General features: G+C 49.1%; 1 protein-coding gene and 1 non-coding gene across 7 annotated transcripts, besides 1 other annotated feature; both read right to left on the bottom strand.

Moving 5' to 3' along the window:
• Nucleotides 1-23: 23 nt before the first annotated feature.
• Nucleotides 24-27954, bottom strand: KIF2C (kinesin family member 2C). Of its 6 annotated transcripts, none has more exons than XM_047441702.1 (21): nucleotides 27749-27954; nucleotides 26784-26878; nucleotides 20306-20407; nucleotides 20091-20139; nucleotides 17227-17349; nucleotides 14537-14659; nucleotides 13958-14058; nucleotides 12946-13041; nucleotides 11808-11862; nucleotides 11554-11716; nucleotides 10145-10235; nucleotides 9820-9883; nucleotides 9651-9742; nucleotides 8443-8585; nucleotides 7307-7511; nucleotides 7089-7199; nucleotides 5808-5875; nucleotides 5340-5445; nucleotides 5133-5246; nucleotides 842-965; nucleotides 24-694 (listed from the first exon to the last, which is right to left on the bottom strand). In XM_047441702.1, exons 1-21 carry the CDS (start codon nucleotides 27789-27791, stop codon nucleotides 612-614), a joined length of 2151 nt encoding a protein of 716 aa, XP_047297658.1. In that variant the 5' UTR covers nucleotides 27792-27954; the 3' UTR covers nucleotides 24-611. The 6 variants fall into 6 exon arrangements, with proteins under 6 accessions (XP_047297658.1, NP_006836.2, XP_047297664.1 ...); NM_006845.4 differs by having other exon boundaries at nucleotides 27789-27954; XM_047441708.1 differs by lacking the exon at nucleotides 14537-14659.
• SNORD160 (small nucleolar RNA, C/D box 160) lies at nucleotides 5684-5756 on the bottom strand. Its single transcript, NR_145793.1, has one exon. It is a non-coding gene; the product is annotated as a small nucleolar RNA, C/D box 160 (small nucleolar RNA).
• Nucleotides 9913-10072: an enhancer, noted in NCBI's record as "active region_944". NCBI's record gives its function as "activates an Ori minimal core promoter by ATAC-STARR-seq in GM12878 lymphoblastoid cells {active_cell/tissue: GM12878}" and the evidence as "EXISTENCE:reporter gene assay evidence [ECO:0000049][PMID:35858748]".

Raw genomic sequence — 27954 nt, 5'->3', positions numbered from 1 at the left:
AGGCTCAGACACATCCCAGGCCCTTTCCACACACTTAAACAGCTGATTTATTTTTTCTCTTTATTGTTACATACAATGTATAAACACATAAAACAGAAAACAGTAGGGATCCTCTAGGATCTCTAGGGAGACAGTAAAGTAGAAAGAGGTCTCAGAAACATTTTTTTAAAGTACAAGACATTCAGTGCTCGGCCCAAAGGCGTAGAAGGTTTAGAGCCAGCAGATAGCTGTACTAAAGGCTCCGTCTCTCTCCCCAGAGCCAGGACAACCCCAGGGAGCTCTCCATTAGCAGCCAGTCCACGCAGGCAGGATGCTGCGGAGAAAGCTCTATGCTGAGAACATTCCCCTTGATGGAAAGAAGGGCAACACAAAAGGGTAACTAAGAGCTCCTTCCTCTCGTGAGGGCGACAACTGAGGAACAGAAAAGGAGTGTCCCATGTCACTCTGACCCCCTCCCCAGCTGCCCTGGGCCCAGATGCCCCCATACTTGGCATTTACCAGAACCTGTCCCAGCTCAGACCCTGCCTAGACCCACCAGGTACCCAAAGTTCTCTGGGGAGGGCCAGGGAAGAGGCTGGGTGTCAAACCAAACAGATTTTTATTTGCAGTCGTCACTGGGGCCGTTTCTTGCTGCTTATTTGTCTGCTAGCCTGCTCTTCCAGCTGCATGGCCAGGCGCAAGGCCTTGATGACATCTGGAAGAAAGGGTAGCGGTACATATGGGGTTAGTGAGAGTCTGAGGAGCCCCCATTCACTCAGGGCAGAGCTGCCATCACCTGCAGCTGCCCAAGAGCCAGCAGAGGCCACCATCGTCCACCTGCACCCCATCCAGCCACACCCACCTCGCAGGGCTGAGAAATGCTTGGCTTGCTGGGCCAGAGCAGATTCCGCTTTGTTCACAAAGGTCTCCAGGTCATAGTCTGGCTGCTCGGTCATCTCAGAGAGCTCAAGCCAGTCTGGTCCTTGCTACAACACAGGGAGGACCTTGTCAGTTCAATAACCATTTAGCAAATCATTCCTGGGGTCCTACCAACTGCAATGCAGACACCTGAGTAAGATGCTTTACCTCTGGTCCCTGACCCATACCCTGGCTGTTCACCCTCTCCCCAAGGAAATCCTTAGCTTGAATTCACCCTCTTCCTACCCCAAGCTTGTTTTTTTCGTTTTCTTTGTTTCTTTTTTGAGACAGTTTCACTCTTGTTGCCCAGGCTGGAGTGCAATGGCGTGATCTCGGCTCACCATAGCCTCCACCCCCCGAGTTTAAGGGATTCTCCTGCTTCAGCCTCCCAAGTAGCTGGGATTACAGGCAAGTGCTACCACGCCCAGCTAATTTTGTATTTTTAGTAGAGACGGGGTTTCTCCATGTTGGCCAGGCTGATCTCGAACTCTCGACCTCAGGTGATCCGCAGGCCTCGGCCTCTCAAAGTGCTGGGATTACAGGCTTGAGCCACCACTTCCGGCCTCCTATCCCAAGCTTATCCCCATCTCTTATGTCAAATGAATAACATCATTGGTCCTGATGCCCAAGCTAGAAATTTGAGTGATTTTATTTTTATTGTTTTTTGAGATGGAGTCTCACTCTGTCACCCAGGCTGGAGTGAAGTGGTGTGCGATCCTGGCTCACTGCAACCTCCGCCTCCCAGGTTTAAGTGATTCTCCTGTCTCAGCCTCCCGAGTAGCTGGGACTACAGGCACACACCACCATAGCCAGCTAATTTATTTATTTATTTATTTTTTCTTTAAGACGGAGTCTTGCTCTGTCGCCAGGTTGGAGTGCAGTGGCGTGATCTCGGCTCACTGCAACCTCCGCCTCCCGGGTTCAAGTGATTCTCCTGCCTCAGCCTCCCAAGTAGCTGGGATTACAGGTGCCTGCCACCATGCCTGGCTAATTTTTGTATTTTTAGTAGAGACAAGATTTCACCTTGTTAGCCAGGCTGGTCTCAAATTCCCGACCTTAGTTGATCTGCCTGCATCAGCCTCCTAAAGTGCTAGGATTACAGGCGTGAGCCATCACGCCCGGTCAAATGATTCTTTTTAAATAATAGGTATACAACTCAGCCTCCCGAGTAGCTGAGACTACAGGTACGCGCCACCACACCAGGCTATTTTTTTTTATTTTTTAGTAGAGACAGGGTTTCACTATGTTGGCCAGGATGGTCTTGATCTCCTGACCTTGTGATCTGCCTGCCTTGGCCTCCCAAAGTGCTGGGATTATAGGCATAAGCCACCGCGCCCAGCCCGAGTGACTTTATTCTTTCACCGTACTTGTCACCAAATCCTCCTCAATTCTGCTCCCTAAATGGTTTTTTTCTTTCTTTCTTTCTTTTTTTATTATTATACTTTAAGTTCTAGGGTACATGTGCACAACGTGCAGGTTTGTTACATATGTATACATGAACTATGTTGGTGTGCTGCACCCATTAACTTGTCATTTACATTGGGTATATCTCCTAATGCTATCCCTACCCTCAGTTCTTTTTATTATAATTTTTGCTGCACACACCACCTTTGGGATATTTATTTATTTTTATTTTTTGTAGAGATGGGGCCATGTTACCCAGGCTGGTCTCGAACTCCTGAGCTCAAGTGATCTTCCTTCCTTGACCTCCCAAAGTGTTGGGATTACAGGCATGACTCACTGCACCTGGCCAAATGATTATTTTATTTTATTTTTGAGACAGTCTTGCTCTGTTGCCCAGGCTGGAGTGCAGTGGCACCATCTCGGCTCACTATAACCTTCGCCTCCTGGGCTCAAGTGATTCTCCTGCCTCAGCCTCCCAAGTAGCTGGGATAACAGATGCCTGCCACCATGCCTGGCTAATTTTTGTATTTTTAGTAGAGACGGGGTTTCACCATGTTGGCCAGGCTGGTTTCAAACTCCCGACCTTAGTTGATGTGGCCGCCTCAGCCTCCCAAAGTGACAGGATTACAGGCGTGAGCCATTGCGCCCGGTCAAATGATTCTTTTTAAATAATAGATATACGACTGGGCGTGGTGGCTCACGCCTGTAATCCCAGCACTTTGGGAGGTCGGGGCGGGAGGATCACCTGAGGTAGGGAGTTCGAGACCAGCCTGACCAACATGGAGAAATCCCGTCTCTACTAAAAATACAAAATTAGCTGGGCGTGGTGGCACATGCCTGTAATCCCAGCTACTTGGGAGGCTGAGGCAGGAGAATTGCTTGAACCTGGGAGGTGGAGGTTGTGGTGAGCCGAGATGGTGCCGTTGCACTCCAGCCTGGGGGACAAAAGCGAAACTCCATCCCCCCCCAAAACAAACAAACAAACAAACAAACAAAAACCAACCAGATATATAGGCTGGGCATGGTGGCTCACACCTGTAATCCCAGCACTTTGGGAGGCTGAGGCAGGCGGATCACTTAAGATCAGGAGTTCAAGACCAGCCTGGCCAACATGGTAAAACCCCATCTCTACTAAAAATACAAAAAATTAGCCAGGCATGGTGGCACGCACCTGTAATCCCAGGTACGCAGGAGGCTGAGGAAGGAGAATCGCTTGAACCCAGGAGGCGGAGGCTGCAGTGAGCCAAGATTGCACCACTAAACTCCAGCCTGGGTGACGAGTGAGACTCTGTCTCAAAAACATATATATATAGAGAGAGAGTACATATTTTGGGGGGTACCTTGTAAGATTTTCATGCTTGTATATCTAAATGGTTCATGAATCTCATGTCCTCATTCCAATCCCATGAACACGGACACAGTTTGGTCTAGGCACTAGTTTCTCTTTTTTTTTTTCTGAGATGGAGTCTTGCTCTGTCACCCAGGCTAGAGTGCAGTGGCACGATCTTGACTCACTACAACCTTTGCCTCCCTGGTTCAAGTAATTCTCCTGCCTCAGCCTCCCAAGTAGCTGAGATTACAGGCGCCCGCCACCATACTCGGCTAATTTTTTGTATTTAGTAGACATGGGGTTTCGCCACGTTGGCCAGGCTGGTCTCGAACTCCTGACCTCATGATCCACCCGCCTCGGCCTCCCAACGTGTTGGGATTACAGGCATGAGCCACCGCGCCTGGCTGGCAATAGTTTTTCTTGAACCCTTTCCAACAATCTCCTAACTGCCTCTACCTTTGCTTTTCTCAAGCCCCCAAACCAGGCTCCACATGGTGGCCATATGATATATCTAAAGCTCTGACATGCCCATGTCACCACTCTGCTTAACACCCTCCAAAGGCTTCCTCATGATGCAGTCCAGGCCTGTGAGATGAACCATCTAGAAGACTCTAGCATCAGATCCCTGTTGACCTGTCCACAGCCTTAACTACCCTCCATCACCTGTTCACTCCTTTTGCTCTGACCACGGTGAGCCTCTCATTCATCCTGAAAGTGCCATGTGCTTACAAAACTCTGTACCCCTGAGCACTCCAGGAAGGGGAGGAGAGGCCTGAGCACTTACCCTTCACAGTCCCTCCTCAGTTACACCTGCCCCAAGTTCTTCCTTCCTGCTCTGCAATCCTCTGAGCGCCCCACCATTGGGACGTAAATTCCTGCCTCCCAGTCACTTGCTCTTCCACAGTAGGGATTACAGTAGCAGGGGCACCTACCAGTTACTGAACCCTGACCACACACTGGGTACTGTGCTGACACTTTATAAGCATATTACTGAACGCTCAAATACAACCATCCTACCTTGACCATTTCAGAGATGCAAAAACTGAGGCCCAGTGAGGCTAAATGAATTTCACAAGGAAATCAGTTTGTGAATGGAAGAGACAGGATTGATCTCAAGTCATACCCTTAGGGCCTATTACCTATACTTCATGTTTTTTGGCCCTTGGATTCAGCACAAGAGTTGCAACATTCACCAAAACACAAGACAAGATCCCTGCATATGGATCACCCTTCAAATCCTCTATCAGGAGCGTGGAGGAGAGACTAGCTCTGGCTAGTGTGATGTCAGAAAGCCTATGTGTGCCAACCTGCAGAAGGGGTTGTGATAATTAGAAGAACAGCTGGGTTAACAGGCAAAGAATTAAAGAGTGCTGGTGTAGAGGGCTGCTTCTTGCTATGTGAATACCTGTGGGAACAAGGCCCAGGTCATGTTCTGGGAATGGTGTGGAGCATACTGAGGGCCGTGCTGCATCCAGCTCCCTGTCCAGGGCCAGCTGCCTACCTGTATGATCTCCTTGAGCTCTTCCATAGCCTTCTCCTCCAGCTCCCTGATCTGAGTCATGGCTTCGTTAAAGCTGGACATCTGGGAAGACAGTTCCTCCTCTTCCTTGGATAACTGAGAGGGCCAAAAAGAAAGACAATTATGTGACCCAGGTGCCGCCTCAGCAGGCCACACTTCTGTCTTGCTTGGCCGCATCCTGGTCCTTACATTGCCTGGAATCAGCGCCCCGTTAGAGCAGGCTTCCATCTCTTCTGTTTCCATTTGAATCAACTGCTCTCCACTGGGCCCACTGTGGGGGCTCAGCTCCTTGACCCTGAGGAAACAAGGAGGTCTCAGATCCCACAGCACCCCCTTGGTACTCACCAGAGGAATGTGGCACCGCCCAGGCTTCGAGGCTTGAGGCTCCAAGGGGATGGAATGGCAACCTTGCCTTCAGCCAAGGAGAGAGAAAACTAAAGCTGGACTGGAAAAGCCCCTCACCCAGCTGACTCTCCAGCAGGGCCCGGAGAGGATTGGGACAGACCTAGCATCACGGCGGAACTCCCAAGCCTCAGGTTCAGAGTCACAGAGGAGTATACAGTAGGCCCTGAGGCCCCAGAGCCTCCTCCCCTCTCATCACTGCCCTTCCCTTGCCCAGTCCTGTTCCGCATCCCACCTAGCTGTAGGTACTAGTACCTGTCTGCATATCTCAGGGTGTTTAAAGTATATTCACAGGAGCTTATGCCTGGTGAGATCGTGGCAATCTGCAAAAGAGGGGTGGGTGATTAAAGGCTGAGAGGCACGGTGAGGATGCTATATAGCCTGTCCCTGAGGGGCCTCCAGTCAGGGTGTTTCTTCAAGCTTTGGAGACCCACATGGTATTGGTGGGAGGAGTCATTTAGCACCGCGCTGTGCTAGGCCACTTGCCCCATGGGCACTGCAAATTAAGGTGCCTCAGACATTGGTTTCCTGCTTTCAAAGACACATCTAATTATCTTTTGCTTCATTATTCCTTCACTGAGACAGTCTTGCTACCAAGGTCCTATCTTTTTCTTTTTTCTTTTTTTTTTTTGAGACGGAGTCTCACTCTGTCGCCCAGACCAGAGTGCAGTGGTGCGATCTCAGCTCACTGCAAGCTCTGCCTCCCAGGTTCACGCCATTCTCCTGCCTTAGCCTCCCGAGTAGCTGGGACTACAGGCACCTGCCACCACACCTGGCTAATTTTTTTTATTTTTTAATAGAGATGGGGTTTCACCATGTTAGCCAGGATGGTCTCTATCTCCTGACCTTGTGATCCACCTGCCTCTCGGCCTCCCAAAGTGCTGGGATTACAGGCGTGAGCCACCGCGCCCAGCCCAAGGTCCTATCTTAAAGCTCTGTGGCTTCTGCTGGAAACTTCAGTTCCCTTAGGCCAAAGGATAATGCCTTAGGTAGAGCTTAGTCAGAAAATCCCACCTTCCTCATGAAAGGACTCCTACCCAAAGGGTAGGGGAGAATATTCTCTTGAGGGGAAGGATGGCAGATCTCACATACAGGGGCTTGGGGATAAAACAGGAAAGAGGACGTCATTCAAGGACACAGCCTTATGATCCAGGCTATTTCTATTTTCTAGGCTGGGAGCCAGTGAACCTGAGGGAGGCCATGGAAAAGACAAGGACTTCCCTCTCCTGCTGACCCAAAGGCCCATCTTCCGAATTCTGGAACCCCCTTTTCATCAGGTAATGCAGGAATGACCTCTCCCAAACCAAGAGCTGCACCTACACATCTTAAAGGGAATAGATCCTTTCCTCCACGCTTGGTTAGGCCACAAGGAGTCTCGTGCATTAAAGCAGGGTCTGGAAGCCCAGTCACGGTACAGCCTGGAAACCCAGGCAGCCAGCAGTGCTGAGCTTCCAGCCCAGGGACAGGACTAAGTGTCTCTGTGGAAAGCAACTCTGTCTCCTCCTGTACCATCACCTTCAAAGTGACCCTACTCACCATGCAAGTCCTAGAGTTCTCCCCAATGAAGGAGTCCCTCAGCACCTGTGTCAGCTTGCTCTCACGGAACGGGGTGTGAGCCTTGTTCTGTCCCAGGGCCCTGATGCACTCCTGTGGGGGCAGCAGGAACAACTGAGGTCCCTTCTTTCCTTGCACTGATCCCTCCCCATCCCTTCCCAGTAGCTCTCCCGGCCAACCAGCTCTAGCTGCCCCACTACCTTCAGGGCTAAGAGACTCTTGTTGATTTCTGCGCCCTCCATGCGGGTCTGCCGGTCAGCACTGGAAGTGTCCGCGCCTCGCTCATTCCCTGCCAGATCTACCAAAGAGAACTTGCCATGCATTCTCCCTTTAGCTCGAAGAATAATTTGGAAGCACGCGTGGGAGCGGGAGGAATTGGAGTTGGCAAATGTCTGCCCAGAGGTTCTGTGGTAAAGAAAGGTTATGAGATTCTGTGGTCACCAGCCCCCATGGCACCCAAGTCCACAGAAGTTCTCTAGGAAGGGAGGGACACAGGTTAGGAGGCGAAAAAGTCCTGTTTTCCTGTCCCAGGCTTCCATCTTGCCCTCCCTGGGTAGCAATTCTCCCTCCAGCTCTGGACCTAATACATTTTCCTGGCAGCCAAATTAGTACTGGATTCTGGACTAGGGCCTTTGTCAGACCTGGAGCCCTAGAAGGACACGGGGAAGGATAAATTCCCTCTGCTAAAGGGCCCAAAGGGAAGGGGGAAGCTGTCATGAACCACCTGCCAGAACTTGAGGACCCTGTAGAGGGCAGCCCCCTCCCTGGGCCTCTATAGCTGCGTAGCGCCCCACTGTACCAATGTCTACAGCCCTAGTGGAAAAGTGCTCCCCTAATTCTGTGCAGAGGGGGTATGAACCCATTACTTCCAGCCCAGAACAGACCCAGAGCTCCCGACTTCCACCACAAAGGGAGGGAAGAGCAAGGAGAACCCAAAGAAGCCAGGAAGCATGCCTTTGGGGTAACACTTTGACTTGTTTTTATTTTTATTTTTTTGAGACAGGATCTTGCTCTGCCCATGCAGACTGGAGTGCAGTGGTGCGATCACAGCTCACTGCAACCTCTAACTCCTGGCCTGAAGTGATCCTCCTGCTTCATTTTCCCAAACTGCTGAGATTATAGGTGTGAGCCACTGTGCCTGACCTGACTTGGTTCTGATAAGCCTCTGGCCCTGGGGTCATATGTCTTATTGAGACCCCGTAAAGCAGAGGCCTTCGCAGCCCTTACCAAACTGGGCAAAGCAGCACTCTGGGTAAACAGAAATGTGCTCAGAGCTAGACTTTACTCATAAACCAGACATGAGAAGGTCGCTCCTTCCCCTCACCAGGACTCTCACCTGCAGGCGCTGCCCATGTCGATCATCTTGATGACATCATCAGCAGAGTTAACCAGATGCTCCTGCAGCCCCACCACTTGCACCTGTTGCTTGCCGTCCTCCAGCACGCGCAGCTTGGCCTTCTTGTTGAGCAGGTCAAACAGCTGTGCCAGGCAGGGGGAATGAGGCTAAGGCCACTGGGCACCCGGCACCCCACCCGACTGCTTCCTCCTACTAGCCTGCCCAGCTCGGACAAGAGCCAGCAGCAGGAAAGGCAGAGAATACGAACTGATGGATGTCAGCCTAGCAGAGGTCAATATACTTGGGATCTGAGCCGAACTGCCTCAGTTTGCTGTGACTCTGGTAACTTACTAGCTGTGTGAGCCTGGGCAAGTTAATAACCACTCTAGCCTTGCATCTCATCTGTAAAGGTGAGACAGGTAGTGCTTAGAATAGTGCATAGCTCCTAATATCTTATTATTATTATTATTTTGAGACGGAGTTTCGCTCGTATCGCCCAGGCTGGAGTGCAATGGTGCGATCACGGCTCACTGCAACCTCTGCCTCCTGGATTCAAGCGATTCTCCTGCCTCAGACTCCCGAGTAGCTGGGATTACAGGTGCCCCTAACCATGCCCAGCTAATTTTTTGTGTTTTTAGTAGAGATGGGGTTTCACCATGTTAGCCAGGCTGGTCTCAAACTCCTGACCTCAGGTGACCTGCCCGCCTCGGCCTCCCAAAGTGCTGGGATTACAGGTGTGAGCCATCACGCCTGGCCCCTAATATCTTATTAATGATAAATATTAGCTATTTTTATTATCTAGATCCCACTCTAAGGAAAGCAACTCTGCAGAAGCACACAGTGAATAGAGAGAGGGGTGGAAGAGATATATGGTGGTGCGGGCAGGGAAAGAATGAATATGAGACTGAACGTGCACAATCGGGGAAGAAGGGATGAAGGAGGTCGGCCGAGGGAGGTCAGGACACACACAGGCAAACCTTGCACCTGAAAGGGCGCCCTGAGGAGTATTCTTGCCATACTTCTTGAACTTAGGTGCCATCTCACCATCAGATTAAACCACCTACATGTGTATGCCAGGGCAGAATGGCCCATCAGTGGCTTGACAGCTAATCAGCTAATAGGTTTTTGGCCTCAACTTCTAGCCAGCTTCAAGGTTTTAAAAAGTGCTGGGCCCCAACAGTGTAAACAAGGGGCTTCCTGCCAGCTACCTTCCCATTGTAGATCTCGAAGAATGTCACATAGACTTCCAGGCCCAACTTCCGGTAGCAGGGTTGATTCTTCAGGAGGAAGACGTCCCGGGCTGAGGGAGAGAACTTTGCTAAGCAAACAACCTGCCTTTCTGTGCCCAACCCTGAAGCAGCAGTACACAGTACTTACAGGCCATGGCATAGATCCCTTTGGATGCATTCTGGGCTTTCCCAGAGAGGTCTCCGCCCATAGTCTGCAAAGGGAAGGGGTAGAAGACCATGGAAAAGGGCTGTTGGCCTAGAGCAGAGCACTACTGGCTCCTTCACTACAGTGGGCCACAACAAAGCCAGAAGGCTGGACCTAAAGCCCCTCCCTGCATCTGACATGGCAAGGCTATCTGGTGATGGGGCATCTGTAACAAGGGGCCTTTCTCAACAAACTCATTGTCTCCCTTTATAGGGAGCCAGGGGTGCACAAGGGAAAGGCTCTTTCCCCGCCAGGCCTCAATACTCACATGTGTCTTGCCACTTCCTGTCTGGCCATATGCAAAACAAGTTGCTTTTCCACCTTCAAAGATTGTCTGTACCAGTGGCCTTGCTGTGAACCTAGAAGAGGGGTAGAGTATTTGTATCTGTTCCCAAACTGTGCTCCCTGGAACATGTCCTGCCACCCTTCCACTGCAGAGTTCTAGGGTCGATTCCTCCTTCTAAGAATAGCACTCCTCTCCTGCCTCAGTGGTCCCACCTGACCCCAACCCCACTTTACAAATCTGAAATACTCCTAGCAAACTGGCAGTGGGATGGGTGTTGGGGGATCACTGGGCCGACTAACCAGAAGCAAGCTGATGGCCCATACTCTAAGCCATCTGACCTTTCCTCTGACCCTGGAGACACAGCATAAAAGCCTAAGCTCAGCATCCAGCTTCCAGCAGAAGAGACACTACTGGCTGGGCACAGTGGCTCACGCCTGTAATCCCAGCACTTTGGGAGGCCGAAGTGTGTGGATCACCTGAACTCAGGAGTTTGAGACCAGCCTGACCAACATGGTGAAACTGTCTCTAATAAAAATACAAAAAATTAGCCAGGTGTGGTGGCACGTGCCCGTAATCCCAGCTACTTGAGAGGCTGGGGCAGGAGAATTGCTTGAACCTGGGAGGCGGGGGTTGCAGTGAGCTGAGATCTCGCCACTGCACTCCAGCCTGGGCAACTGACTGAGACTCTGTCTCAAAAAACAAATAAATAAATAAAAATAAAATAAGTAAATATCCCTATGAGGGTACTGGGTGCTGTATTAGAAAGAGCAGATCTGGGGCCAGGTGCAGTGGCTCACACCTTTAATCCCAGCACTTTGGGAGGCCAAGGCGAGCGGATCACCTGAGGTCAGGAGTTTGAGACCAGCCTGACCAACAGGGCGAAACCCTGTTTCTACTAAAAATACAAAATTAGCCAGGTGTGATGGCAGGCGCCTGTAATCCCAGCTATGTGGGAGGCTGAGGCAAGAGAATCGCTGGAACCTGGGAGGCGGAGGTTGCAGTGAGCCGAGATTGTGCCCCTGCATTCCAGTCTGGGCAACAAGAGCAAAACTCCGTCTCAAAAAAAAAAAAAAAAAAAAAAAAAGCAGATAGAGCAGATCTGGAGTTCCCCAAATCTGTGAACCCCAGTGGGCAATGGTGTGGCTGCATAAGGCACAGAAGAACCCCTGGAGCCTGGCCAGCCCTGCCTCAGCACGTAACGGGTGATACCTCATTCAGTATCCACTCAAGGATGGGCCACTAAGCTGCCAAAGGGTGTGACCCAAAGAAAACACAAGAAGCGAGGAAGAGCCTCAGAATTCAGCACGTCTGTGAGTAGTGTTACCACGATGTCCCACAAAAAAAGGGGATGGAAGGGCACAAGGAGGGAAAAATGGATGCAAGGGACTAACCTGTAGACAACTTCATTCGAAGCTGTTTCATCAAATGCAAAGTCAAAGCAGAATGCTTGGTTCTCCAGATACTTTGTTAAGTCCACTTTCAACTTGGGTTCATGTACCAAGAGGAGACACTTGCTAGGAATGGAAATCACATCAATTTCTTTCTTGGCCAATTCTGCAGAAGGAGAGTATTTCAGGGGGTGCTCCCTGGAAACAGAAGGCCCATTAGTCAGTCTGAAGCCTCTTCCTGACTGAACAGGACTTACCTTGCTTATTCAGTGGGCGTTTCCTAACACAGACACATATTCTGTGCTCTTCGATCTGCAAGCGGATGAGAGGAGGCAACCAACAGCAAAGGGTCAGAGCAATTTCAAAAGCGAGCTTGTCCAGAACTCCCACCCCTTCCAATCCCATGTCTGGCCCAGTCAGAGGCCAAGATCTAACACTAGGACCCCTGCATCCTCCATTAGATACTCCAGAGCACAAGAAGGGAGCACTGGATTTTGTTCCCATTTTTCTCACTCTGCTGCCTACAAGAGTTTCAGCACTACTTTCATGATTTTTACTAATGCAGGAATCTAGCCAACCTATGGTATGGGGGTGGAACCCAGTTTATAAAGATCAGACCCCTCCCCATGTGGGCCTCACTAGCTTCAGCCCACCAAAGGATATTAAAAAATAACCTCGGCTGGGCATGGTGGCTCACGCCTGTAATCCCAGCACTTTGGGAGGCTGAGGTGGGCAGATCACGAGGTCAGGAGTTCGACACCAGCCTGACCAACATGGTAAAACCCCATCTCTACTAAAAATACAAAAATTACCTAGGCGTGGTGGCACATGCCTGTAATCCCAGCTACTGGGGAGGCTGAGGCAGGAGAATCACTTAAACCTGGGAGGTGGAGGCTGCAGTGAGCCAAGACCATGCCATTGCACTCCAGCCTGGGCGACAGAGCGAGACTCTGTCTCAAAAAAAAGTAAAATAAAATAACCTCAGCCAGGCACAGTAGCTTACACCTGTAATCCCAGCACTTTGGGAAGTCAAGGTAGGCGGATTCCTTGAACCCAGAAGTTCCAGATTGGCCTGGGCAACATGGTGAAACCCTGTCTCTACCAAAAATACAAAAAATCAGTAGGGTGCGGTGGAATGCATCTATGGTCCCAGCTACCTGGGAGGATGAGGTGGGGAGGATCACTCAAGCCCAGGGAAGTGGAGGTTGCAGTGATCCAAGATCGTACCACTGCACTCCAGCCTGGGTGACAGAGTGAGACCCCATCTCAAAAAAAAATAATAATAAAACCCTCAAAGGTGAGTAAAGATTCCTGCATGCCCTCATTCCTGTAAAGAGAAGTTTTCTGTCTCTCAATTGTACACTTAAGAAAGAGAAGTTCTTTGGATGTACTTACAGGATCAGTCATAGTAAGTGGATGACATTCCAAAGTAGCCCGAAATTCTTTAATCATTCGGGCAAATTCCCAGTTTGGAAAACTACTGTCATACTCCTGGTTTGAGACGAGAGTGAAAAAGGGCAGACTGTTAAGATATAAGTGCTCTCAGACCCCTATGCGGCAGCAGCAACAGCTCTTTGCTCACCACCCTTCATAGTTGTCAAAGTCCCTGCCCTGGCTCTGGGTTGAGAAGCCAGGTACAAAGCACTGGGGAAGAGATTGGCAGAGGGGCCTAAGCATACGCCAAAGCACGCTAGGAACTGGAACTAGGGCCAGTTCCACATTTTAGGAGGCACAGCAGATCGGGCTTCCCAGAAGCAATGAACCCAAATAAGGGGACTGTACTGCAGTCCCTGCCCTCCAAATACGTACAACTTGGGGGAGGATAGGAGAGAGCAGACCAATTGTGCCCTGCAGCCCCTCTGGCCATCACGCCATGTGAGCATGTGATGGGCTTGCTTACTAGACAGTCAGCATGAAATGTTCCTCATCTGAGGGCCTTCAGAAACATTTCTGAATTATTTGTTCTCTGAATCCTGATAAACCAGTTAAATTTCCTGGATATCAGAATTGGAGCGTCAGAGGCCAGGCGCAACAGCTCATGCCTACAATCCCAGCACTTTGGAAGGCCAAGCATTCCAGACCAGCCTGGGCAAAATAGCGAAACTCTGTCTCTACTAAAAATACAAAAAATTAGCGGCACATGCCTGTAATCCCAGCTACTTGGGAGGCTGAGGCCCAAGAATCACTTGAACCCAGAGGTGGAGGTTGCAGTGAGCCGAGATCACACCACTGCACTCCAGCCAGGGCAACAGAGCAAAAAAAAAAAAAAAAAAAAAAAAAAAGAATTGGGGCCTCAAGAACTGGAGCCTCAGAAATGCTGGGGCCCAACTGTATCTCTGTTGCCCGTAGAGTTTCGGTTAAGGACACCTGTCCAAAAACCCTTACCCTAGTCTCCCAAGAAAGGTACCTGAGCTCTCTTCATTCTCATTTCAGAGTTCTGGGCCTTCTTCTCTTCTCGCTTGTTCTTCATTTTTTCCACTTCCTTCACAAGACATGATTTCCTCCGAACTATGAAAACATAAAAAAAAAAGAAAAAAAAAGGAAGCCCACTCTGTTACCAGTTTAAGCCAGCCTACTCTTCTCTGGCTATTTACTGAGTACTGGGCCTTTCCCAGGGAGAGGCCTTCTCTAGATCCTTACTCTTAAATCACTATATGCAAAAAGAAGTAATAGATGTGACTCTCGGGATGGACAAGTCCACAAAGTAGTGGCCTGGCCAATATGAAGTCAAATAGTGATAACTGCACTCCAGTTCTAACCCAAGCTCTTCCTATGCATCTTGGCTACTTTCTCAACAACCACAGAAGTGAAACAGTTCTTGTTTTGTCTTGATAATGAAAGACTGATTCCATGGCCAGAGGAAAACATGCCCCCACGTGACAAACAGGGCTTGAACTCAGGTGCCAAGGTAGGCCAGGTTTAGGACAGGATGTAAACTATCTGTGCCTCACTAGAAGCAGAACAGCAGACAGCTCAGTGTGTCTACCTGAGTTCACAGGGTTTGCAGAAGAGCTGCCTCGGATGGAATGGACTTGCTCTTCCATCTCCTCGCTGACCATCCTCAATGGTATTTCAGCCACTGCAGGGCAGGAAGGCCTAGTGGGGGCAGCTGTAGGGGAACAAGAGTCACTGGAGAAGCAGGCAAGTATACCACAGGCATCTCACCTGAGCCCATGGCCCTGGTTATGGGCCGGGAGAGCGACCTGCCTGCTCGGTAAGGCTTACAGTATGTGCAGAGCTTGTGCTTTTCCCTTCACCTCAGCCCACACTCTCACCCTTTCTGCAAGGGCTGGCTCCTGGGGTCAAAATATCTTAAAGGGTATGTGAACAGTTCAGTATGGGCTTTGACATGAAGGGAAAAGCCTCTGAGAGCGTGAACTCTTTAGACTTCACCCAAGCATGGGTTCTCAGGCCAGGCCAGGTCTGGTCTTAGGGAGAAAAGCCAGGCCTTTCTGACTTCTCTCAAGCCTCAGGAACCCAGGTGGTTAACAGGAGCAAAGACTGAAAATCTAGGGTGACAGGGAACTGGGGCAATAACTAACCAGATTGATTCAATACAGAAAGGTCCAATCCACAACACCTCATTACTTCCCATACGTGGTCATGACCCATTCATTTACCTTCATCGTATTAGAGCTGAATTTGATATATGTAAAGTATAATGGTTGTGTGTCTTACACAATTTGCATCTAATTTATATAATCTATTAAAGACTGACAAATAATTCACATTACAAATTTTTATTTATATTTACTAATTTTCCACACCTCATCTGACTCACTTAAAAAATCTTAAAATTCAATTTATAGCCGGGCACGGTGGCTCACGCCTGTAATCCCAGCACTTTGGGAGGCCGAGGCGGGCGGATCACGAAGTCAGGAGATCGAGACCATCCTGGCTAACAGAGTGAAACCCCGTCTCTACTAAAAATACAAAAAATTAGCCGGGCGCGGTGGCAGGCGGCTGTAGTCCCAGCTACTTGCAGGCTGAGGGAGAATGGCATGAACCCGGGAGGCAGAGCTTGCAGTGAGCCGAGATCGCAGCACTGCACTCCAGCCTGGGCGACAGAGCGAGACTCTGTCTCAAAAAAAAAAAAAAAAAAAAAAATTCAATTTAATATAGGCCGGGCGCAGTGGCTCAAGCCTGTAATCCCAGGACCTTGGGAGGCCGAGGTGGGTGGATCACGAGGTCAGGAGTTTGAGATCAGCCTGGCCAATATGGTGAAACCCTGTCTCTACTAAAAATACAAAAATTAGCCAGGTGTGGTGGTGTGCACCTGTAGTCCTAGCTACTCGGGAGGCTGAGCCAAGAGAATGGCTTGAACAGGGGAGGCAGAGGTTGCAGTGAGCTGAGATCACACCACAGCACTCCAGCCTGGGCGACACAGCGAGACTCCATCTCAAAAAAAAAAAAAAAAAAGGTATAAAAAGAGGGCCGGGTGCAGTAGCTCACGCCTGTAATCCCAGAACTTTTGAGAGGCCAAGGCGGGCAGATCACATGAGGTCAGGAGTTCGAGACCAGCCTGACCAACATGGAGAAACCCCATCTCTACTAAAAAGACAAAATTAGCCTGGCATGGTAGCACATGCCTGTAATCTCACCTACTCGGGAGGCTGAGGCAGAAGAATCAATTGAACCCGGGAGGCAGAGATTGAGGTTAGCCAAGATAGCGTCATTGCCCTCCAGCCTGGGCAACAAGAGCAAAATTCCGTCTCAAAAAAAAAAAAAAAAAAGTACAAAAAGAGGGCTGGGCGAGGTGGCTCACGCCTGTAATCCCAGAACTTTGGGAAGCCGAGGTGGGCGGATCACTTGAGGCCAGGAGTTCAAGACCAGCCTGGCCAACATGGCGATACCCCACCCCTACTAAAAATACAAAAATTAGCCGGGCGTGGTGGCACATGCCTGTAATCCCAGCTACCCAGGAGGCTGAGGTGGGAGAACTGGTTGAACCTAGGAGGCGGAAGTTGCAGTAAGCCAAGACCACGCCATTGCACTCCAGCCTGGGTGACAAGAGTGAGACTCTGTCTCAATAAATAAATAAATAAATAAATAATAAAATACAGAAAGAAAAAAAGCTAATTAATGCTATTAGAAGTCAGGATTATGGGTACCCTTGGGGGAATTAGGAGCTGCAAATATGCCCAACAGGGACTTTTGAAGTTCTGTTAATGCTCTGATCATGTTAGTTACATGAGTGTGTTCTGTTTATGAAAATTCACTGAACTATATACTCAATGCTCTGTGTACTTAGACCTTAGACTCCTCAACTATCTCAGAGGGCTTCTGCCTAGTCTTTCACCTCTTCCAAAAGACTGATTCCATGGCCACAGGAAAACATGCCCCCATGTGACAAACAGGGCTTGAACTCAGGCGATTTGAAGTACTGGTAATGCTCTGATCATGTTAGTTACATAAGTGTGTTCAGTTTACAAAAATTCACAGAACTAAATACTCAATGCTATGTGTTCATGTCTGTGTTTATGTGTGTGTAATGTTTCAATTAAGTTTTTTTAAAAAAGAGATGATTTCCAAATAAGAAAGCCGTGTTGGTAGGGCAGGAGCAGACCAGTTCTGAAGCTGGGGGAATGGATGAATCTCAGGATATTCTAGCACAGGGACCAAGCAATGTGCTCCAGGGCCTCAAACATGGTGGTTGGGGGCACATTCGTTACTCACGAGGAACTGAAAACTGCTTGCGGGAGTTTGCAGCTGCAGGCAGCTCCACCTCCATGTCATTCTCCTGAGCCGTGATGCGAAGCTCTGAGACAGTGGACATGCGAGTGGAGCGGCTTCGAAGACCTGGAGAACCGAGAGCAGTAGCCAGTCAGTGCTGCACGATCTCGAGGGTGGTCAGGGGCAAACCTCCAAGTTTCTGTACAAGGTGAAATAGGTCCCAGCTACCAGGAAAGGGGCTCGCCAACTTCCCATATTCCTTAGAAAGGAAAAATTAGAAAGACCAAGTACCAGTAACCCCAAAACCTCTTTGTCCACATTGTGCAAATCTAGGAGCTCCTGAGGGCAAGGATATCTCCCACAAAGAGCGGCTGTCTTGAGTAAGTACAGGAACCTATAGCTATCCTGAAAACATTTCTGGAGAGAGAGAGACCTAATCTAAGTCCTTGAGAAAAAGTATTATGAATCTTTTTTTTTTTTTTTTTTTTGAGGAGTTTCGCTCTTGTTGCCCAGGCTGGTGTGCAGTGGCGCGATCTCGGCTCACTGCAACCTCCACCTCCTGGGTTCAAGCAATTCTCCTGCCTCAGCCTCCCAAGTAGCTGGAACTACAGGTGTGCACCACCAGACCCAGCTAATTTTTGTATTTTTTTTTTAGTACAGACGGGGTTTCACCATGTTGGCCAGCATGGTCTCAATCTCTTGACCTTGTGATCCACCCGCCTCGGCCTCCCAAAGTGCTGGGATTACAGGTGTGAACCACCGTGCCCAGCCCATCTTTTTTGAGAGACAGAGTCTCACACTGCCACCCAGGCTGGAGTGCAGTGGCATGATCTTGGCTCACTGCAACCTCTGCCAAAACCAACTTCTACCCAGTTTCTGAGTATTATAAGTTCAGGCTGATGGCTATATATAATCCATGTTTTGAATTTTTACAATCGTCCTATTTCCCTAATGATTTTATTTTATTTTTTATTTTTATAATAAGACTGAGTCTTGCTATATTGCCCAGGCTGGTCTCAAACTCCTAGGTTCAAGCCATCTTCCTGCCTCAACATCCCAAAGCACTGGGCTTACAGGTGTGAGCCATCACATCTAGCCCCAAATGATCTGTAATTTTTTTTCTTTGTTTTTTTGAGACCGAGTCTCACTCTGTCACCCAGGCTGGAGTACAGTGGCATGATCTCGGCTCACTGCAACCTCTGCCCCCCCGGGCTCAAACGATTCTCCTGCCTCAGCTTCCTGAGTAGCTGGGATTACAGGCACCCACCACCACGCCTGGCTAATTTTTGTATTTTTAGTAGAGACAGGGGTTTCACCATGTTGGCCAGGCTAGTCTTGAACTCCTGACCTCAGGTGATCCACCCGCCTTGGCCTCCTAAAATGCTGGGATTACAGGTGTGAGCCACCACACCCGGCCAGTTTTTTGTATTTTGAATAGAGACAGGGTTTCACCATGTTGACCAGGCTGGCTTGGAACTCCTGACCTCAGGTGATCTGCCCACCTTGGCCCCTCAAAGTGCTGGGATTACAGGCATGAGCTACTGCTCAGGGCCTTAAAGATTTTTTTTTCCATTAAAATGAGCTGTGTAGCTGGGCATGGTGGTGTGTGCCTGTAGTCCCAGCACTTTGGGAGGCTGAGGCAGGAGGACTGCTTGAAGCTAGGAGTTCAAGACCAGCTTAGGCAACAAAGCGAGACTCCATCCTAAAGAAAAAAAGCTATTGGCTGGGCATGGTGGCTCGCGCCTGCAATCCTAGCACTTTAGGAGGCTGAAGCAGGAGGATCACTTGAGGCCAGGAGTTTGAGACCAGCCCAGGCAACATAGTGAGACCTTGTCTCTACAAAAAAAAAAAAAAAAAAAATTAGCCAGGTGTGATGGGGCACACCTGTAGTCCCAGCTACATGGGAGGCTGAGGTGGGAGGATTGCCTGAGCCCAAGAGTTCAAGGCTACAGTGAGCTACGATCATATCATGGTATTCCAGCATGGACAACCAAGTGAGACCCTGCCTTTGAAAAACAAAACAAAACAAAGCTGGGGCAATATCCTTTGAGGACATGAACACGGAATGGGACTGCTGCGAGTCCCAACTCTCCTGCATGACCTTACGGTACACCCAGCAAGAAAGGGCCAGCACCACAATAGTCAGGCCCAAGCTTGCAATGGCACCACCTTCCACTCAGGGCCCCCAGAACCTGAAGCTCCAGCCAAGTATTCTGTGAGTCCCTGAGGTAGCTGAATCATTTCAGGGCAATGATGACCCCTAGACCTGGAGAGCTGTGCAGGTCACCAGCCTTCAAGGTACAACTGGCTTTAAGCTGGATCTTTTGGGAAGCTTACCCCCTAGAGTCACAGTCTATCATGTTGTCAAAGTAGGTTTTCACAGACTACTTCTGCAGAGAGACTCCCAACCTCCTAGACCACGAGGCAATGCTGTTATTCTCTCCAGCCCCAGCCATCCCTCTCTATAGCGCCACCAACTGTACTTCTAAACAACCCACAGGCCTAGTGTCTCCCATTTTCAAAATCTCTTTCCAAGGCATACTGTTCCACTGAGGGGGCTGAGCCCCGAGGGAAGAAAAAAGGCCTACCAATGGCTGATTCCTACTCTCCTCAGCATCAGGCTCTGGATTCTACAGAAAAGGTTTCTAGGCCAGGCAGCAAATTTCCTAAATGCACCAGGTCTCTTAAAGGTTGGCCTGATAGCTGTAGATTGGATTCTTTCTCATAGAGAAAGATGCTTGGAACACAGGCAGGACTCAACCCACATAGAAACCACCTGCAAAAGAGGAGCTTCCACAACTCTGAGTCCTAGAAACATAATTCCTGACACAAATTCCATGATAGTAAGCTAGTAGAAATCCACTTACTTTCTTTTGGAGCAGGAATTTTGGAGTTGACGGATCTCCGTTTTTGTTTCTGAAAAACAAATCAAATTGTCACAATATATGGCTCTTATCAATTCTCAAGGGCCCATCCTGGGCCCATGTACTATGCTAAAATGCCAGACAATCAATCAGCAAAGAGTCAATAAGCAAAGTGAATTCTCTGGCGCACTGGCTGCAGCCAGATGACAGGCACCTACCTGGATTGTTACATTTTCCTGCAAGGGCAGATTGTCCTTCGGATGTAAGGGAAGAAGCTGTAAGAGTTCTGGGTTTATTGCAGCCACATCATCAAAATCAATCTGCAAGGAGCAAGTAAAAGTTTCAATGAAACAACATTGTTCAATCCAAATACATTTTTTCTTTTTTTTTTTTTTTGAGACAGAGTATCGCTCTGTCGCCCAGGCTGGAGGGCAGTGGTGCGATCTTGGTTCAATGCAACCTCTGCCTCCTGGGTCCAAGCAATTCTCCTGCCTCAGCCTCCTGAGTAGCTGGGACTACAGGCATGCGCCACCACGCCCAGCTAATTTTTGTATTTCCAGTAGAGACAGGGTTTCACCATGTTGGCCAGGATGGTCTCAAACTCCTGGCCTCAGGTGATCTCCCCACCTCGGCCTCCTAAAGTGCTGGGATTACAGGTGTGAGCCACTGTGCCTGGCCCCCCCGAGGCTGAGGCGGGAGAATTGCTGGAATCCAGGAGGCGGAGGTTGCATTGAGCTGAGATTGAGCCACTGCCCTCCAGCCTGGGCAACAGAGCAAGACTCTGTCTCAAAAAACAAAAAACAAACAAACAAACAAAAAAACAACATAGAAAAAATTAAATTTCTATAGACAGGGGTACCCCTAAATTCAAACTTTACCAACTTTAAGTTCCACTAAGTATGAATAGCTATAAAACAAATAGTTACTCCTTAATAATGGTTTACCATCTAGATGGATATGGGTTTCTGATTTCCAAGCCAATGGTAGACGTCAGTGATGAGAATGAGGTGAAGAGGAGGGCAGACAGGCAGGCAAACAGTCGGGTACTCCACAGCAGATCTAGGCCACTTGGCTCCCCTGCTGATCTGCTGGGCAGTGAGGTCCTGCTGGGCACAGCCCCCCAAGCACCTCTTGATGGCTGACACGGAGGAGGAAACAAGTTCTAACTGTCTGGTGAGAGTCAAATGGGGGCCCTTTAGGATCTTATGGGCAGGGGCAAGTTCCTGACAGCTGCTACCTAACCCTAAGACTACCTACATTTTCTTCTGGGCCCAGAAACTTCCCCAGTTACGGCTTCCTGCCCATGCCTTACCTATTTCCTGTTGATGCCTGCAATGAGGTCACAATTCTAAGTTTACATCATCAGAGTCCTGCAATTCTCCAGGAACAACTCAAACTTCACCAGGATAGCTTTACAACAGGTTCAGACATATTAAATTTGTCCCAACTTTGTATTTCAAAATGTGACAGAGCTGAAGCATGTACTCTAGGGTGAGGGCTTTACTGCCTAGAGATGAAACCTGCAGGACTGGGTGCGGTGGCTCACGCCTGTAACCCCAGCACTTTGGGAGGCCGAGGTGGGCGGATTACCTGACCTCAGGAGTTCAAGGCCAGCCTGGGCAACACGGTGAAACCCCTGTCTCTACTAAAATACAAAAAGTTGGCTGGGTGTGGCAGCGTGCACCTGTAATCCCAGCTACTCAGGAGCCTGAGGCAGGAGAATGGCGTGAACCCAGGAGGCGGAGCTTGCAGTGAGCCGAGATCCCGCCACTGCACTCCAGCCTGGGCGACACAGCGAGACTCCGTCTCAAAAAAAAAAGAAAAAGAAAAAAGAAATCTGCAGTTATTTGCTGCCTATTCAAACATTTGTTAGGCACCACGAAGACAGCAGCCTACAGGGGGAAGGTAGTCAAAGATGAATTAAGACATATATAGGCCGGGCGTGGTGGCTCACGTCTGTAATCCCAGCACTTTGGGAGGCTGAGACAGGCAGATCACCTGAGGTCGGGAGTTCAAGACCAGCCTGACCAACATGGAAAAACCCCGTCTCTACTAAAAATAAAAAATTAGCCAGGTGTGATGCATGCCTGTAATCTCAGCTACTCGGGAGGCTGAGGCAGAAGAATCGCTTGAACCCGGGAGGCGGAGGTTGCAGTAAGCCAAGATAGCGCCATCACACTCCAGCCTGGGCAACAAGAGCGAAACACTGTCTCAAAAAAAAAAAAAAAAAAAAAAAAAAGACATATACAACCCCTGCCACCATGAGCTCAATTTCTAATGGGGATTATAAGTCATATGTACAAAGGAAATCAAAGCAGAATGAGATTTAAATAAAAAAAAAAAAAGGAGGATAGAATCACTAAATGCAAAAGCTGGCAAGCACTTCAGTAATCACACTTCTATCCACACTTCTGGGACAGCCACAGACTCTTGGTACATACCTCCCCCATTTCTAACCCCTAAACTACAGAGAGCATAAACAACAAAGAAAACCAGAGGTTTTTTTTTTTTTTTGAGATGGAGTTTCACTCTTGGTGCCCAGGCTGGAGTGCAGTGGCATGATCTCGGCTCACTGGAACCTCCGCCTCCCAGGTTCAAGTGATTCTCCTGCCTCAGCCTCCTGAGTAGCTGAGATTACAGGCATGCGCCACCATGTCCAGCTAATTTTGTATTTTTAGTAGAGACAGGGTTTTACCACGTTGGCCAGGCTGGTCTTGAGCTCCTGACCTCAGGTGATCCGTCCACCTCAGCCTCCCAAAGTGCTGGGATTACAGGCATGAGCCACCACGCCCGGCCTTTTTTAGACGGAATCTCACTCTGTCGCCCAGGCTGCTGGAGTGCAATGGCGCGATCTCAGCTCGCTGCAACCTCCACCTCCCGGGTTCAAGCGATTCTTCCGCCTCAGCCTCCTGAGTAGCTGGGACTACAGGTGCGCACCACCACATCCGGCTAAGTTTTTGGATTTTTAGTAGAGATGCAGGTTCACTATATTGGCCAGGCTGGTCTTGAACTCCTGACCTCATGATCCGCCCGCTTCAGCTTCCCAGAGTGCTGGGATTACAAGTGTGAGCCACCACGACCCGCGAAAACCAGAGTTTTAAGCCTTGCTCTGACAATCAACTGATTCTCATGTTGATAATTCAGGGTGAACATCCCAGGAGAAAGGAATAAGAGTGTAAAGGCAGCAGGGAATTAGGCAGTCACAGAGCAGTAAACTGCCTCATTTGCCAGGGCATAGGATATGTGGAAGAAGAGTATGTGGTACAAAGAAAAAGGGTGATTAGAATCAGAGCTTGAGCCACATGTGGTGGCTCATGCCTGTAATCCCAGCACTTTAGGAGGCCAAGATGGCCAGATCACTTGAGGTCAGGAGTTTGAGACCAGCCTGGTCAACATGGGGAAACCCTGTCTCTACTAAAAATACAAAAATTAGCTGGGTGTGGTGGCAGGTGCCTGTAATCCCAGCTACTTGGGAGACTGAGTGAGGAGAATTGCTTGAACCTGGGGCATGGAGGTTGTAGTGAGCCGAAATCGGCTCACTGAGGGAGATCGTGCCACTGCACTCCAGCCTGGCGATAGAGTGAGACTTTGTCTCAAAAAACAAACAAACAAACAAAAAAAAAAACCAGAGCTTGAAAAGGCTCTGAATGCCCCACTAAGAAGTTCGGATCTTATTCCAAAAGCAGTATTTGATCTGAGGTAAAACAAGGGATATATTTCTAAACAAGCAACAAAAACAAATCACAAAAGACTGATAATAGCTGGTTGAAAGGAATTTTAGGAACCTCTTAATTCTTTAGGGGCAGATAATGGAAAGTATTCAATCCTTTTATTTCTCAAATATACCACCTAAATATCTCTACTATACGTACTATGCTAAGCAAGCTTTTTACATGTTTTATCTTTTTTATTTATTTGTTTTTGAGACAGGGTCTCACTCTGTCACCCAGGCTGGAGTGTAGTGGCTCACTGTAGCCCTGAACTCCTGGGCTCAAGCAATCCTCCTGCCTTAGCCTCTGGAGTAGCTGGGACCACAGGCGCAAGCCACTATGACTGGCTAATTGTTTTTTATTTTTAGTAGAGATGAGGTCTTGCTGTATTTGCCCAGGATGGACTCAAACTCCTGGCCTCAAGAGGTCCTCCTGCCTCAGCCTCCCAAAGTGCTGAGATTACAGGTACTGTGCCCAGCTACATGTATTATTTTATTAAGCTCCATGGAAGAGAGTCCAAGAGTCTGTCTCCTTCACCTCTGTATCCCTAGCACCCAATAAGTGTCTAGCATTTTGGAAGCAGTCCAAAAAATGTGCTGAGTAAATCCTCACAACAACCCTGTGAGGTAGACATTATTATCATCCTCACTTTATAGATGAGGAAACTAAACTTCGAAGAGGGGCAGAAACATGCCTGAGAACACAAAGCAGTGGCAGAGCCAGACTAGAATCCAGGTTTTCATACTCCTAGCCCAGTGACCTTTTCACTACACCACAATGCCACTAGAACAGAAATGTCTTAGTCACAGTGCTCTCCTCAAAATCCTTCCAAGGTTCCCCACTGCCTACAGAAGAAAACCTAACCAGCTCAGTGCCAGACATGAAGACCTTTGTCTCCTTTTTCAGCTGTTTTGCGGCTGCCAAGCATCCTGGGCCCTGCACTGCTCGTGGCCAGCTTCTTCATGGTCCCCATGTGTGCCATCTTGCTGCTTCAGCTAAGCCTTCACACTCCACCCTCTAAGCCCAGCCCATTCTCAGCAAGTTTCCACCTCTGAGCTGCTCTAGCAATGCTCATCTGTGCCATTCATCACAAGTTGTCTTCTGTTAGTTGGTTAGTTGGTGATTCAGAAACGTCTTTTTGTCTCCTCAACCAGGTTATTGATTTCATTCACCAAACTGATATCACAGGTAGTGTGCATGCAGAACCTAGCTTGGGCAAGCAAAGTTTTCTAAAACCTAAAATTCTGTGCAGTTTGTTTTTTTTTTTTTTTTTTTGAGACGAAGTTTCACTCTGTTGCCCAGGCTGGAGTGCAGTGGCATGATCTCAGCTCACTGCAACCTCTGCCTCCCAGGTTCATGTGATCCTCCTGCCCCAGCTTCCCAAGTAGCTGGGATTACAGGCCCGTGCCACCACACCCAGCTAATTTTTGTATTTTTAGTAGAGATGGGGGTTTCGCTATGTTGGCCAGGCTGGTCTCAAACTCCTGATCTCAAGTGATCCGCCCACCTCGGCCTCCCAAAGTGCTGGGATTACAGGCATGAGCCACTGCGCCTGGCTGCAGTTTGCTTTCTACAAACATACCAGAGCCGGGCATGGTGGCTCACGCCTGTAATCCCAGCACTTTGGGAGGCAGAGGCAGGCGGATCACGAGGTCAGGAGATCGAGACCATCCCGGCTAACACAGTGAAACCCCATCTCTACTAAAAATACAAAAAATTAGCCGGGCGTAGTGGCGGGCACCTGTAGTACCAGTTACTCGGGAGGCTGAGGCAGGAGAATGACGTGAACCCGGGAGGCGGAGCTTGCAGTGAGCTGAGATCTCGCCACTGCACTCCAGCCTGGGTGACAGAGTGAGACTCTGTCTCAAAACAAACAAACAAACAAACAAAAAAAACCCAGAAAATTATTGATTGCTTCAATTTAGAATGGACCTGACTAAATAAAATCCCAATGCATCTGGAAGGGGACCATTCTTTTTTTTTTTTTTTTTTTTTTTGAGACAAGTCCTCATTCTGTTGCCCAGGAGGCTGGAGAGCAGTGGTGCAATTTCAGCTCACTGAAACCTGTGCTTTCCCAGACTCCAGCAATTCTCCAGCCTCAGCCTCCAGAGCAGCTGGGACCACAGGCATGCACCACCATGCCCGGCTAATGTTTTTTGTATTTTTTGTAGAAATGAGGTTTTGTCATGTTGCCCAGCCTGGTCTTGAACTGCTGAGCTCAAAGCGATCTGCCCACCTCGGCCTCCCAAAGTGCTGGGATTATACATGTGAGCCACTGTGCCCAGCCAAGAAGACCATTTTTATTTTTTGAGGAAAGGTCTCACTCTGTCGCCCAGGCCAGAGTGCAGTGGCTCGATCATGGTTCAGTGCAGCCTCAACCTCCCAGGCTAAATCAATCCTCCCACCTCAGCTTCCCGAGTAGCTGGAACCACAGGCGTGAGCCACCACACCCTGATAATTTTTAATTTTTTTGTAGAGACAAGGTCTCAACATTTTTCCCAGGCTGGTCTCGAACTCCTGAGCTCAAGCAATCCTCCAGACCAGGCCTCTCAAAGTGTCGGGATTAGAGGCAAGAGCCACCGCACCCAGCCAATTTTTTTTTTTTTTTTTTTTTGAGACAGATTCTCACTGTCACCCAGGCTGGAGTGCAGCGGCACAGTTTCGGCTCACTGCAACCTCCGCCTCCCAGGTTCAAGCAGTTCTCCTGCCTCAGGCTCCCAAGTAGTTGGGATTACAGGCATGCACTACCACGACTGGCTAATTTTTGTATTTTCAGTAGAGACAGGTTTCGCCATGTTGGCCAGGATGGTCTCGAACTCCTGACATCAGGTGATCTGCCCGTCTCAGCCTCCCAAAGTTCTGGGATTACAGGCGTGAGTGAGAAGAGCACAGCATCAGAAACTAGGCTCTCACAGATTCCACTTCTGCACAGATCCTTTATGTAGGAAGACATTAAATGTGGTAGAGGAATTCTCATAGAACCTACCTCTTTGCCCTTTGTGGCACCTCCTTCTGCCCATTCCACTGAAACACAGGATTTCTCCAAGTTCACAGTCCTTACATTGGCACTGTGAATTAAACCTATAAAGTATGAAAAAACCAGAGTTACCCATCTCTTTCCTGAGAGCTTCACTTTTAGGATTCCACAGAGATTCCCAAAGTGGAGTTAACCTGAAGGAACAGGCAGCTACCTTAAAAAAAAAAAAAAAAAAAACTAAGAGAAACAAATAAATCTCCTGGGCTTCACCTTTAGAATATCCACAGTGAGGTGGGCTGGGGACAGGTTTTTAAACTGAGCTGCATGGGATAAGGATTCACCCCTACTCAAGAGAGCCTACAAAAAAAGAGAGATAGAGCCTACAAAAGAGAACATACAAAAGGTATGTTTGAGCACAGGATTCCCCACAACCCTTAGATGAACTTTTCCTCAACATAGCATTGAGGATCTGGCCCTTTTGGGGTTTTCCTAACTCATTTCTGGCGGTCATATCTGTCCATTTCCCTAATGACACGGGTATCAGACCTGCCAGAACTGCGGTACCTGCTTAAGCAAAAGAGAGAACGACTACAAGCTCCTCAAGCGCAGGGTTCTTGTCTGTCCCGTTTACCTGACATACCGCAACTGCGCAATATTTATTCGAGAGTAAAGGGGCCAGGAGACCGAGGTCCCCATAAGAGCAGGGCATTTTCAGGGGAGAATTTTGGAAGGGAAGTGAATTTAGAAGTCCCAACTTCCCTGGGAGGTCTACCAGCCTTGGAGAAGGTCCGCCCACTCCCAGAGGACTGCGAAAGGGACCACGTACAGCGCAGGGACTCTCACCCCTGTGTAGGCAAGAATGACTGCCAGTGCAGAGACCCGGAGTGAGTGCGTGTGAAAAGGAGGGAGGGAGAGAAAGAGAGTGAAAGCCCATCTGTGTGTCCGGGGACGGGCAGTAATTTCAGTCGTCTCACCGCTCACGAGTCCCCTTGACCTAGGGACCCCGCTCCTCACCATTACTGCGTTGGATCTTGATAGCGAGACCGGGAAACAGGCGGGCCTGAAGCGACGAGTCCATGGCCATTCGGAGAGTCAGCAAGGAAGAGAAACGCGCAATACCAAGAAACCTCAATTTCGCTAACCCTACGAAGTCTTAACGCCGCGTAAACCGCCGCAGTTT

The sequence above is a fragment of the Homo sapiens genome, chromosome 1, assembly GCF_000001405.40.
Source record: "Homo sapiens chromosome 1, GRCh38.p14 Primary Assembly".
Classification (NCBI taxonomy): Eukaryota; Metazoa; Chordata; class Mammalia; order Primates; family Hominidae; genus Homo; species Homo sapiens.
Note: the sequence above shows the minus strand (reverse complement) of the source record. Positions and strands in the feature narration are given on the sequence as shown.